Source organism: Homo sapiens, chromosome 2 (assembly GCF_000001405.40).
Source record: "Homo sapiens chromosome 2, GRCh38.p14 Primary Assembly".
NCBI classification, from domain to species: domain Eukaryota; kingdom Metazoa; phylum Chordata; class Mammalia; order Primates; family Hominidae; genus Homo; species Homo sapiens.
The window spans coordinates 168,885,964-168,900,388 of NC_000002.12; the positions used below are offsets into that span (position 1 = coordinate 168,885,964).

The window sequence follows — 14,425 nt, forward strand, 5'->3', positions numbered from 1 at the left end:
TCCTGCATTCCTCACTGGAAGAACCAAACCCTCCAGATTCTATCCTCACACAGCATCTATTACATTATTCTAACAACGAATACAATCTTTTTTTTTTTTTTTTTTTTGGAGACAGGGTCTCACTCTGTCGCCCAGGCTGGAGTGAAGTGGCATGATCACGGCTCACTGTAACCTCAATCTCCTGGGCTCAAGCGATCCTCCTGTCTCAGCCTCCTGAGTAGCTGGGACTACAGGTGCCCACCACCACACCTGGCTAATTTTTCCTTAATTTTTATTGAGACAAGGTCTCACTATATTGCCCAGGCTGGTCTTGAACTCCTGGACTCAGGCAATCCTCCTGCCTCAGCCTCCCAAAGTGCTGGGATTACTTTGGCTTGAGCCATCGAGCCTGGAACAATATATTTTAATTGTGGTTTCCCTATCTATATCCCCCACAATATTGTGAGTAGATTATACTTTATGCACTGTTGTCTCCTTAGTGGTGGGCAATAGCAGTCATATGTTCATTGAATTAATTAAACTTGAGTAAACTGTATTTCTGTTCAAGTATAAACTGATTTCTTTTTTTTTTTTTGAGATGGAGTCTTGCTCTGTCGCCCAGGCTGCAGTGCAGTGGCGCGATCTGGGCTCACTGCAAGCTCCGCCTCCCAGGTTCACGCCATTCTCCTGCCTCAGCCTCCAGAGTAGCTGGGACCATAGGCGCCGGCCACCAGGCCCAGCTAATTTTTTGTATTTTTAGTAGAGACAAGGTTTCACCGTGTTAGCCAGGATGGTCTTGATCTCCTGACCTCGTGATCCGCCCGCCTCAGCCTCCCAAAGTGCTGGGATTACAGGCGTGAACCACCCCGCCCGGCCAAGTATAAACTGATTTTTAAAAGAAAAATATTGATAATGCTTTTAGATTTTAGACTATATAGAGCATAACTTCATACTATAGATAATCTTTAAGAGCACAGTTTGAGACTCACAGCAGTAAAACTGACAGTTCCAAACTTAATTTTCTAATGCCTAGGGATCCTACAAAGAAGTTTTAAAGAACCCAAACTCAATATCACTCTTTCACACACACATGCAAACAAAAGTGGTTTTCTTTTTTGCTTATGGTTACAGAGGGAATGAGAGAAGCAGTGAAGGGCATGGAAGCTTCAGGGCAGATTAGAAAGTAAACATGGGTAGGCCGGTTGCAGTGGCTCATGCCTGTAATCCCAGCACTTTGGGAGGCCAAGGTGGGCAGATCACCTAAGGTCAGGAGATTGAGACCATCCTGGCTAACACGGTGAAACCCCATCTCTACTAAAAATACAAAAAATTAGTGGTGCGTGGTGGTGCGCACCTGTAGTCTCAGCTACTTGGGAGGCTGAGGCAGGAGAATCACTTGAACCCAGAAGGCAAAGGTTGCAGTGAGCCGAGATCATGCCACTGCACTCCAGCCTGGGCAACAGAGCGAGACTCCATCTCAAAAAAAAAAAAAGAAAGAAAGAAAATAAAGAAAGAAAGTAAACATGGGTAAAAGTGTAGCAAATAACCTACTGGGGTAACAAAGTCAAATGCCTTCATGGGCCACACAATGAGTAAAGTGGGTAAGTCAAGGCTACCCATTTTGCAAATGAAAGAACATATGCCCCATGTAAGGACATTCTAGTCTAATATTGTTTAAAACATGGTGCCTTTAAACCAAGTATCTCTAGTGGAATTTGAACTGTGGACACATGTTTGTGTCCTGTGTGTAAGAATTCAGTAAAAACTACTGGTTTACTCTGGACAACCTGGAGAGTAGTAGAAATAAGATGGCAAGAATAGTAGTAAAAATATGGAGAAAAACACTGTCAGAGTACTAACAGAGCTGAGAGAACTCTAGCTTTTCAATCCCCAGGCTGTGATTTCCAACGTGAAAACAAACTCATCTTTTAAAAAATACTGGCATTTATACCTTAACACTGACAAATCTCACAAGTATAGTGCTGAGTGAAAAAATGGACAGAAGACATACAAGAGAATGCCATTTATATAACATTCAAAAACACAATACTAGAGGCCAGGCATGGTGGCTCACACCCGAAATCCTAGCACTTTGGGCAGCCAAAGTGAGCGGACTGCTTGAGCCCAGGAGTTTAAGACCAGCCTGCACAATATGGTGAAACCCCATCTCTACAAAAAATATGAAATTAGCCAGGCATGCTGGTGTGCACCAGTGGTCCCAGCTACTTAGGGGGTGAAGTGGGAGTATCACTTGAGCCGAGGAGGTCGAGGCTGAAATGAGCCTAGATCATGCCACTGCACCCCAGCCTGGCTGACAAAGTGAGACTCTGTCACCAGGCACGGTGGCTCACGCCTGTAATCCCAGCACTTTGGGAGGCTGAGGCAGGCAGATCACGAGGTCAGGAGATTGAGACCGTCTTGGCTAACACAGTGAAACCCTGTCTGTACTAAAAATACAAAAAATTAGCCAGGCGTGGTTGCAGGCGCCTGTAGTCCCAGCTACTTGGGAGGCTGAGGCAGGAGAGTGGCGTGAACCCAGGAGGCGGAGCTTGCAGTGAGCCAAGATCGCGCCACTGCACTCCAGCCTGGGCAACAGAGCGAGACTCTGTCTCAAAGTGAGACCCTGTCTCAAAAAATGACACAAAAAACCCCCACAATACTAAACAATATATTGATAGGTTAGTTGTGGAAGGTGGGAGAAGGTGTAACATAGGATGTTCTTTCTTAAACTGTATAGTATGTCAATGTTTATTCCTATATATAAGCACATGTATATGTGTTAATGTGTATGTATTTGTGTGTGTATGTGTCTATATATATGTATATATATATATTTTAATTTTTAATTTTTTTTTTAAATCTTTTGTAGAGACAGGGTTTCACCATGTTGCTTGGGCTGGTCTTCAACTCCTGAGCTCGAGGGATCCACCCAACTTGGCCTCCCAAAGTGTTGGGATTACAGGCATGAGCCACTACATGTACGTGTGTGTGTGTGTGTGTGTGTGTGTGTGTGTGTATATATATATATATACACACACACATATATATGTATATATATACACATATATGTATATATATACACATATATATACATATATATATACACATATATATACATATATATATACACATATATATACATATATATACACATATATATATACACACACACAACATATACACACTTGTGTACACAAAATACATTGTCTTACTTGTATGAGAGATTTCATGATAAAGATGTTTTATCTAAAAAAAACCCCATGATTTATACTTTTTCACATACGATTTTGATATTCCAGAAACATCTCAACCATTCGTTCTTCTTCCTTTAATTTCACAGACAGCTTTTCTGAAAGAGAAATTGAACTTTCAATTCAGCTGCAATAACACTAAAAAATAAACTAGAACAGCAAAACCAGCATGTTACAAGTTAACACTAGGTACCTGCAAATGCTTTGATGGAATCCTTGTAGGTATCTCTTAGTCCCGCCATCTGACAGGAGGTGTCCGTACTTTTGAATTTATTCCAAAATTCATTTATGCTTTTATCGAAAAGTGCCAGTTCGTCCTCTACCATTATGTAGGACAATGCTAAAAACAGAATACATATTGCATTTTTTAAGTTACTGAAATCAAATCACCCACATATTCCAATCGGGTATACAGTATTTTGGCAATTTGTCCTTTGCTAGAAAATAGCAACTTATCTTTAATTCTAGGTATTCAAGGGTAGATCAAGCCACCTGGGCTTAACTGTTGTTAACGTGCAGCAATAATTCAGGACACCTTTACCTCCTAGCAGCTTGTTAGTAGGTAAGTGTAACTGCACAGGACACTCACACGCACTATGACCCTGGGTCCATTTTCTCACAAGTAAAACTGTTGACTTCTGAAACCCCTGATCCAACTCTAACCCTTTCTGAACAGAGATCATCAGGATAGCCAGGTGGCCGGCACCCTCCCATAGAATAAGACCCCACACATCTATCCTGTCTCTCTCCTCCACCTCAGAACAGTAAAAGTTAACAGTAAAATAGGGACTAAGGTGGGAGTTTAGTAGGTTCCGTCGAGGATGTATACAAGTCACCTCGGGCCTCAGTATCCTCTGTAAAAGGAGGTCCTGGGAGAATCCTGGACCCACCAGTACTCTGCGACGCTAAAACCTTCCCAGGAGGACCAAAGATACCTCCTGCAGTGAAACCCAGAACGCTTTGGGTTCGCAGCTGCCCACCCCACCAGGCTGTGAGGCCCAAACAGCAACAAGATGCGCATTTCACAAACGCCGCCGCAAATACACACATCCCGCCCTCAAATTCACTTTCCCTTATTGCGACAGGGGGGCCAAGGAGCCCAGCTCGGCGCCCAACTCCCTTACCTTCGCAGGCAGGCCTGAGTCCCGCCGCCTTCCCCACACCAGATCCGCGCCCACTCTAGCCAACAGCCGGACTCTAGGCTCAGCTCCCGCAGCCCCGCCAACTTTCCGATTTCAAACCTAGTGCACTTCCCGCCACCCGCCTCCAGGCGCAGGCTGGCCTTCTGATTGGCCGATAGCGCAGGCTCTCCTTGACAGGATTGGTTGAACTCACCCTTGGATTCTCGAGGGGAAAATGGGGGAACAGGGCATTCTGGGATTCGTAGTTCTTTTCTGAACAACAGCCAGAGTCTCCGCTGTGACCCGAAAGTATTAATAGCACCCGAAGGGCTCGCCCACGACAAGTCATTTATCGGCTTCAAATAAAGGTTTCTGGAACAAATACAGATATTGACCTTTAATCGTATCTTTTGCAACAAATACATCCTCTTCTTTGTATTCACCTTGTAAAGTTGACTTCAATTGTGAGTGGGCAGAAACATTCAGATGGTCCTCAGAATAGGTTTTTACTGCTTACAAAAATATTCCTTCTTTTCTACTCCCCCAGCTTCTCTAACAATGTTTTTGAGGCCTAATAGAACACTATGTTACTATCTTGCAGAAGTGGAAGAAACTAGAGCACTATCAAAATCACCTGCTATTTCCTTGAGGACAGGAATGAGGCACAAGGTATTCAACTAGGATTTGCCAGAGTAGACAAGCTGCAGGGAATCAGCGTTGTCCAGAAACTCTGAAAGGTGACATAGATTCGGTATTTGAATCCTTCTTGGTAAAGCTGAGGAAGAAAGAAAACTAGGGAAAGAACCTAGAGAATATGCTTTCTGAAGAATGGAAAATAAAGTTGGCTAAAATAATGAAGTCAAAGTTATTATTTTAATCTTAGACTATGATATGTTTGTGAAAATAAAGCCTCTTATTATACACCAAAAGGTCTTTACTATACTAGTTTCTTTTCATTTTCATCAACAATACAAACACCAACAAGAAGTAAATATGTAAAAAACATTCTCAGAGGACCAGATATTAGCCATTCTTTATCCAAGAACTAAATTAAGACCTATGAAATCAGGACAAGTTATTATGAATATTTAACACTTCACAATATACCCAAAAGTCACCTTGCAGCCTAGAGACTGCTATTAATACAGTTAGACATAGAGTTTACTATGATAAATCTCCTTTCATTTGCAAATATTTTCCCAAGAACTTCTAATTTTATATATCTGATACTATTTACCTTAAAGCAAAATTTTATGAGTTGAGCATCTCAGAATTTCAGCTGATTGAGTGCTGGTACTCATTTTTAGGGTTTTCTCAGTACCAAATTAGTGAAGACAGTATTTAAGAAGATTCATGGAAGAGGGCTGATTTGGTACCATGTTGATGAATTCCTCACTGGGTTTATACACTGGTCTTTATCAGACTGTTCAGTGAAGATTCTTGCTCTCTTTGGGTCTTCAGCTGAGGGGAGTGATTGCCCTACCAATGTGCTGTTTTTAGGGCAGCCTCAGGTTGTCTATTGTTTTTTATTCTGTGAGTGCTCCTCCCCAACCAGGATGTGAGGAAGAAGTTTGTCGTTTGTCAAAATTTTCATTTCTGAAAGACTGGCTGAATAATTTCTCTCTAATCCCCAAGGATAGCTAGAGACAACCAGCTCTTCTTTCTGCTCAGTACACAGAATAGGGCCTTCAGCTTTCTCAGCATTAAAAAGGGGAAAACAGACCCCCCGACCCATTATCATTCACACAACTCCACCATGACCACCACCACCATACTTACATACCTTTCATTTCAAACCAACCAGGGTTTATTGAGTTTCTATTTTGTGCCAGGTACTGAGCTGAGCACTGCCTTCTCTGGGATATACGGTCTGTGACCCAGGGTTGGGTTTCTGCAGGGTGGGGAATAGAAAGATGCCACATGTTCCCAGGCTGGAGGTGTTTCTGGATGGTGGTTATAGTCTTGCTCAGATTGAATGCTCCATTGCTCCTCCCCTGAAAACTTAATTCTTTCTCCAAAGGGTGAATGATAATGGCGTATAAGGATAAAAGATCATTGTCCTCTATTACACATACACTTGCTGGGTAGATACTTTGCATCTTGGGGGGCAGAGCTAAAGATAGGAATGATCGTGAATAATGCCATGGTTTAGACTATAAGTTCCCCACCTGTAAGTATAAGGTTCTCTTTACGACATTCACATTTATGCTGACATTCACATTTATATTTTCAACATCCATTCACTGAGAAAATTGAAAAATTAAAAGTTACTATGAATTCAAAAGAGGAGTCTCTTCTTGCAGATTCCAGGTTGAGGACCTACAATATTGAAAATGAAAAGATTCTTGAACAGAAACTTTCAATCTTCTAGATTTCTGAATGGCCTGTGTCAAACACTGCAATAGATGATTTAAGAAAGCAAGTTTTCTGACAATTGCTATAAAGTACAGTATACAAAGTGGAGTCAATGCCAGGTTACACTTGGACTCTTTCATCTCCTTCCTAGAATTAAAAAAATAAAATAAAATGGAGGAAGGGCTGGGACCTTGTATCAGTCTGTTCTCACATTGCTATAAAGAAACACCTGAGACTGGGTAATTTATAAAGAAAAGAGGTTTAATTGGCTCATGGTCTGCAAGCTGTACAGGAAGAAGAGCAGCATCTGCTTCTAGGGAGGCTTCAGGAAACTTCCAATCATGGCAGAAGGCGAATGGGGAGAAGGTACTTCATGTGCCAAAGCAGGAGCAAGAGAGGTCAGGAGGAGGGGGAGGTGCCACACATTTTTAAATGACCAGATCTCATGAGAACTCACTCACTGTTACAAAGACAGTACCAAGAGGATGGTATTAAACCATTCATAAGAAATCCACCCTCATGATCCAATCCCCTCCCACCACTATGCTGGAGGTCTGATGTGGTTTGGATCTGTGTGGTAGAAGGAAGTCACCAAATTTTATCCCCCAAAAAGAAACTATAAAACTGGACCAAATTATCAAAAACAACAATTTAAGTGACCTGGAAGTTGACTAACAGATTGCAGCAAACTAAGAAGCATTTATTCATGAGAAACTACTCAAAAACATTATGCTAAGTGAAAGAATCCGGGTGCAAAAGACTACATATACTATGATTTAATTTACATAAAATAACCAGAAAAGGCAGATTCCCAGACACAGAGAGCAGTTCAGTTTTTGCATCGGGCTGGGAGCAGACCCAGGCACTGACTGCCAACATGCATGAAGGAACTTTCTGGGGTGCTGGAGATGTTCTGAAACTGGTTTTTGTCAATTACTGGCAACTTTATAAATATACTAAATATAATGAGGAATTATATACTATAATTTATAGTATATAAATTATAACTCAATAAAAGTATTAAAATTAAAAATAAAAGATGAAGGATATCAGAGCTTCAGAGGAAAAAAGACTACATTTCCCAAGCACTGAGAAAACATTCAATATAGTCAGAAAAATATCCAGGTTATTTTTATTATGGTAAAATACTCATAACATAAAATTTACCATCTTAACCATTTTTAAGTGTACAGTAAAAGGATGTTGAGTGTATTCACAGCATTATGGAACCATCACCGCTATTCATCTCCAGAACTCTTTTTATTAAAAACTCTGCCCATCAAATAACAAATCTGTCTTTCCTCCCCTCACACCTTGGCAACCACCATTCTACTTTCTGTCTCTATGAATCTGACTACTCTAGGTACAATTTTTAAATTGTCTCATAAATGTCAAAAATGAGGATTTCTTTTACAGCTTTTAAATACATTAATCAATTAATGTTAATGTCTTTAGGTGTGATAATGGTATTATCTCATTTATATTCTTGAATATTTTTTCCCTTTCATCCTACAGTTTGCATTTCTAAATTCTACTCATATCTCAAGGCCCAGCCACTTGCCATCTCCTCCACAAAAGCTCCCTAATCTCACAGACTGAAAGTTGTCTGCCTTTCCTTTTTTCCATTCACCCTATCTGTTCACCTCTAAGGACACAATGGTATGTGATTTATGTAAATATCATATCTTCCCTACTAGACCACAAGCTTCTTGAGGTCTGATCTATCTCTGTCCTGTGTGGTACTCGTAAGAGTCAGTGTCTAGACTTATGCTTCTCAAAAGTGAGAGGTTCTCCACCCAGCAACATCACCATTATCTGGGAACTTAGAAATACAAAGTCTCAGACCCCACTCTATTTTTAGTGAATCAAAGATTAGGAGTCCCTGAAATCTGTGTTTTAACAAGCCCTTCAGGGGAGTTGGATGAATATTAAAGTTTGAGAGCCACTGCTTTACACAATTTCTCTACACAGTACTTTTTAAGTCATCTATAAAAATGAACACAGCTATACAATATATTAACTCTACTTTGAAGAAAGTTAATAGTACTGCTCAATAGGCAACTCTGTTGGGTCCTTTGGTAATCCAAGAAAAAGTGTATAGATGTATAGGTCATGATCATTTCTAGAGAAAAGTAGCTAAGAAGACTAATGGAGGGGGGTACTTCAAAGAGCTGTAGCAGGGCCATTTATAACAGTGTCATTATGGACTGCCAATATTCCTGGGATGCTAGCCAGACTGAAGGTAATGATTTTCTGAAAGTCACTAGGGTCTAAATTCCATCTGAAATAAATCCATTTTAAATTGCAAGGTGACACTGGAGAGATCTCAAATAGTTTATTTTAGAAAAGGCAGATAAGTTTGTGGTAAAAGGATAATGACCATGCAGAGACATTAAAGGTCAATGCCTACAAAATATATTGTTGTTTACTGCCACCTCATAAGTAACACAAGCTAAAGTCAAATATCTCTGAATGGTGTTGAATTGTAGCAAGCACTATAATCCAGACATGAATGGTTCAATAAGAAATATCTTGTGGTTATATAATATTTGATGTGGTGAAACATATTGGAGAAATTCTATCCTCTGTCCCACTATGTAATACATGTAGGGATTTACTGTAAATCAAAATCTCAGAAAAATTTAAATGAATCGGAATGAGAACATTCTAGAAAGAACTGGAAGTATTCAACTACAGGGATGAACTAAAAAACAAGGCAGCAGCATAGGGTTGGGGGACCGACTATAGCAGTAACATATTTAAGAAATAAACAGTCATTAAGAGGAAGGACGTCATTAAGACAAGAAACTCATGCTGGGGTGGATGGAGTTATGAAGATATCTCTGAGGAAACTGGGGAAATGGGAGGATCCTGGGTATAGGCCCCACGGATAGCGCATGGGATTCCAGTGAACCTCACGCTGTACTTAATTTGCTTGGGATTCCATTGAGAATCTGGTGAAAATTGTGGCTTCTTCCAACAGATACGTACAAGCACAAACATTTTGCACGCAATTTTAGGAAGTTCGCTGACCCCTAAATAAATCAATTTGCGTTATAGACTGCCTGGTGACTGAAGAGATCTGGCTAAGGTTAGACCCCAAAGCACAGACTCATAAAGATTTCTTCCACTCCAAAAGTGCTTTTTCTAACACAGCAGAGTTCAAGTCCTTGAACACTTGGAGGGATCAAATGGAGAGTTCTACTATAGCAGGAAGAAAAGGAGGTGATCCAGTCAGGAATGGTGGCTGGCTGTATAATTTTTGAAAACCATCTCCTAATGTGTAGGGCATTTGGCTGGATTCCCAGATGCAATAGTGAGCAATTCAGACTTGTCTCTGCTCTGTTGGAGTTGACAGTGACCAATTAAAACACTTAGATGACTAAATATTAGTATGAAAAAAGGGGAGCCAGGATAGAGGAAAAAAGAGAGTGAGAGGTGGGGTGGGGGGAGAAGAAAAGAGAGGAGAGAACAGAGAGAGTGGGGTAGAGGCAGAGATGTCAGAGTACAAAAGAGAAGCAACATAAGAATTGTGTATAAGAGCAAAATTGTATCACTTTACCCTACTTCTACTCTGATCAAGAATGTCAGAGCTTGAATTCAGTTCCACATTTACAGACTATTTGGCAAAATAGGAATAACTAATATTAATTATAGCTAGTATTTTTTGAGTATTTACCATGTGCCTTAAAAAAAGATAATAAAAAGGAGATCTAAAAGGAAGAATATGGAAACAGACCACGCCTGCATCCATGGGAAAGAGTGGAATAATACAGAACCCCAAATAAGGCAAATGAAAAAAAAATGACTTAAGGTAGAAGTTGAGAAAGTGGTACAAGAAGAGGCCAGCTCTGCACAGGAGGTACAGGAGGGGTACCTTTCAAGGGAATGATGAATGAAGACAGCGCTTCTAAAAATTAATGTGTATAGAAACCATGTGGAAACCTTACTAAAACGCTTTCTGGATTTAATTTCCAAAATGTCTCATTCTGTGATCTGGAGTGGGCCTGGAAATTGCATGCAGGTGACAGGAGGAAGGTGGTCCACAGGTCACACTTTAGGAAAGACAACTTCAAAAAGAGGATGAGTCAGGTGGATCTACCCTCTTTTGGATCTTGGTCTGGGTAGGTTGAATGTGACTTTGTTCCATCATTTGGTAAACTGATTTTGGACAGATCTTAAACTCTAACAACCTTGGCTTTGAAATGACCCAGCTTGTCAGGCAGGCTGTGTCATTGGAGGGAAGAGCTCCACTGGAAGATTACTAGTGTCAGAAAGAACCAACTTCCTCTATCTCCCTACTGCTGGGGCCCACATAGGATACAGGAACATCCCCACCCTAAGCCGTGGCAACTCGAGTGGCAGACGGTAGATGAGGAGGACTAAAGAAATGTGTAGAAAGAGATTTCCCACAGGAACAAATCATAAAATACATGTAAGTGCTGGGAAGAATAGCTCACCAGTATAATGGATCAAGTGGTGTTTTCACTTCTTTCGTTTTTAAAATTTTGTATGAATCACATCTTAATTTTAATTTTGTTGTATAGTTATGTAAAATATTTACATGGTTTCAAAGTCACATCTATAAAATAAGTATGTTCAAAGAAGTCTACTTTTTAACCCTGTTCCCTCTACTCTCTTCTCTTCTTTCCTTTACAGAATTTAAAAATATATTTATTTTATATATAATAAATATATAAATTTATTACATATAATAAATATATCTATTACATATAATAAATATATCTATTACATATAATAAATATCTATTACATATAATAAATATTTATTTATTACATATATATTTTTATATAAATATAAATATATAAAAATAGATATATATTTATTATGTATTTTTATATATAAATAAATTATATAATTTATTACATGTGATAAATATATATAATTTATTACATGCAATAAATTATATAATTTATTACATGTGATAAATTATATAATTTATCACATGTAATAAATGTATATAAAATAAATATATACTAAATAGAGGTGGGGTATTGCTTCGTTTCCCAGGTGGTCTCAAGCTCCTGGCTTCAAGTGATCCTCCCACTATGGCTTCCCAAAGTGCTGGGATTACAGATGTGAGGTACCATGCTTGGCCAAAATATTTTTTAATTGTTTATTCTTCTATTTAATCATAAGCAGATGTGTGTGTTTGTGTGTGTGTACATATATGTGTATATATGTGTGTGTATATATGTTATATATGTATATATAATTGTATATATACATATATGCACACACACACAAAGGGCTAATATATGTATATATACATATACACACATCTGCATACATATTTATATATGTATGTACACACACACACATATACACATACAAATATATTAGCCCTTTCTAGAATACACATTATATATATTTTCTCCACCTTAAATACACTTTCTTGACATTGCCACTATATAACATGATCTCTGTGGAGAAATGCATTTTGAGTTTGCACTAACCAAATAACATAGTTTTAAAACACAGGCTCTTTATAATTTAGTACTCATATCAACTTTGTTCAATAATTCATTCACTCAATAAACATTTACTAAATAACTATGATGGGCCCAGGGGCAGTTCCAGGTTTTGTGAAATCTAAAGCCCCTGTTAAATGGCTTTATATAGGCCCCTCTATAAAGCCCCTGTTATATAGGCCCTCTCTTTAATAAAAAGAAAATAAACTCGTGAATGCACTCTAAACTATCAGTAACCACCTGCCTTTTTTTTTTGACAGAGTCTCACTCTGTAGACCAGGCTGGAGTGCAGTGGCACGATCTTGGCTCACTGCAACCTCTACCTCCCGGGTTTCAAGCGATTCTCCTGCCTCAGCCTCCCGAGTAGCTGGGACTACAGTAGCCCACCACAATGCCCAGCTAATTTTTGTATTTTTTTTTTAGTAGAGATGGTGTTTTACCATGTTGGCCAGGCTGGTCTTAAACTCCTGACCTCAAGTGATCCGCCCACCTCGGCCTCCCAAAGTGCTGGGATTACAGGCGTGAGCCACTGCGCCCGGCCCAACCTACCATCTTAGGCGCCCGTGCGAACTTTTCCAGCTTCATGGGTAATTGGCTTCTACACGGGCCTGTTATGGGAACTGTGCTTGTGGCTGTTGCACAAAGTGGACAGGACCCCTTGTTTTATGGAGCTTATACTGTAGTACAGGAGAGAGATGCTAAATATATACACTTGTCATAAATATATAATTATAAATTGTGTTTAACTCCCGGTTATGGGCTGAACTGTATTCCCTCAAATTCATGTTGAAGTCCTAAGCCCCAGTACCTCCCAAAATGACTGTGTTTGGTGATAGGGTCTTTAAAGGGGTGATTAAGTTAAAATGAGGTCATTAGTATCTTCCTTAATCCAATAAGACTGGTATCCTTATAAAAAGAGGAGATTAGAACACACCCATATAGCGGGGAAGACCATGTGAAGACATAGAGAGTAGACAGTCATCTGCAAGCCAAGGACAGAGGCTCAGAAGAAATCAACGCCACCGACGCGTTGATTCAGACTCCTAGTTTCCTATATTTCTGTTGTGTAAGCCACCCAGTCTGGTATTTTGTTATAGCAGCCCTAGCAGACTCAAACAACCCCCTAGGAGAAAAGAGTGTGTGAGAGAAAGTATTGTCAGAGGAGTGGTGAGGATGCTGGTCAGAGAAGGCATCACCGATGGATGCATAGAAGCTAAGATATGAAAAGACTAAAAATGATGAACTACGAGGAATAAGCAGATTAGCAGATGCTGTTAAAGGGTGAAAGAAATCAAGATGCTTTTGCTTCACTTAATTATCCCACAGTCTACAGAACCAGGTAGTTCTCGAGAGAAAATCTTTCTAAATTAACTACCATAGATGAAAGGCTAATCACAGACTCTGAGGTGCTGAAGAGCAGGAAGTTTAATTTTTAAGTGGAAGACAAAATGTATTTGATATCATTCACATCCTGATTTAAGGATAAGACATTTCTGAAGAAAATGAGTATTATGAATTACGTAGATCAAACACTTTTTAGAAAAAGAATAAAGGGAAGTTATGCTCTTCCTCATGGCTCATTAAAGAGATTATGGAAATTACAGAACCTGAATATGCAAAACAAAGAAAAGCCAGAAGCATAGACTCTAATTAGTCAAGGATAATTCCTTATATGAATTGCCTTAGTGCAATGATTCTAAGCCCCTTATACCACATTGGAACCACTTGAGAAGTATTTTAATAATACCAATGCCCAAATTCCATTACCAGAAATATAACTGATCTCAGGTGGAACACAGTTATGGCAATTTAAAAAGCACCCCAAAAGATGTTAATGGTCAGTCAATGCATTTCTTCCAGGTAAGGTACCAATAGACACTGAAGCCCAGTAACAATGGTGCTGTTAAATGATGGGACACAAAACTCGAAGAGAAGTTCAAAGTGATAGTTATAGCCTGTGAAGGACTCTAGTGAAGTCTTTTGTCTTTACTTAGGCCATGGTAAGCAAAGACAAAAATCTGAATGACAAAATAACAAGTAAGGTTACCTAGATCCATCCCTGGCCACCTTGTGAGGCTTTGTTGCTTTCCCACTAATCCTAGACACAATCCAGCTCTCTAAACCCAACATCTCTCTGACTTAGATCCATAGCCTCTTTGTGCTACCCTTCTGTTCATTCTCAGTCTACCCTGGTCCATAGTCCAGGGTCCAGTCGTAGTCTATAGTC

General features: G+C 39.6%; 1 protein-coding gene and 1 long non-coding RNA gene across 3 annotated transcripts in view; one reads left to right on the plus strand and one right to left on the minus strand.

Annotated features, from left to right (window-relative positions):
* Window positions 1-4,467, minus strand: part of SPC25 (SPC25 component of NDC80 kinetochore complex) — a 28,910-nt gene extending 24,443 nt beyond the window's left edge. For both annotated transcript variants that reach the window (XM_011511516.3, NM_020675.4), the window contains exons 1-3: window positions 4,355-4,467; window positions 3,424-3,570; window positions 3,263-3,328 (exon numbers count right to left, since the gene is read on the minus strand). In XM_011511516.3, the coding sequence (XP_011509818.1) occupies window positions 3,263-3,328; window positions 3,424-3,556 (199 nt within the window). In that variant the 5' untranslated portion in view covers window positions 3,557-3,570; window positions 4,355-4,467. The remainder of the gene's footprint in view (window positions 1-3,262; window positions 3,329-3,423; window positions 3,571-4,354) is intronic.
* A 200-nt stretch (window positions 4,468-4,667) lies between these two features.
* LOC124907904 (uncharacterized) lies at window positions 4,668-5,280 on the plus strand. The gene is made up of 2 exons (XR_007087287.1): window positions 4,668-4,719; window positions 4,953-5,280. It is a non-coding gene; the product is annotated as an uncharacterized LOC124907904 (long non-coding RNA).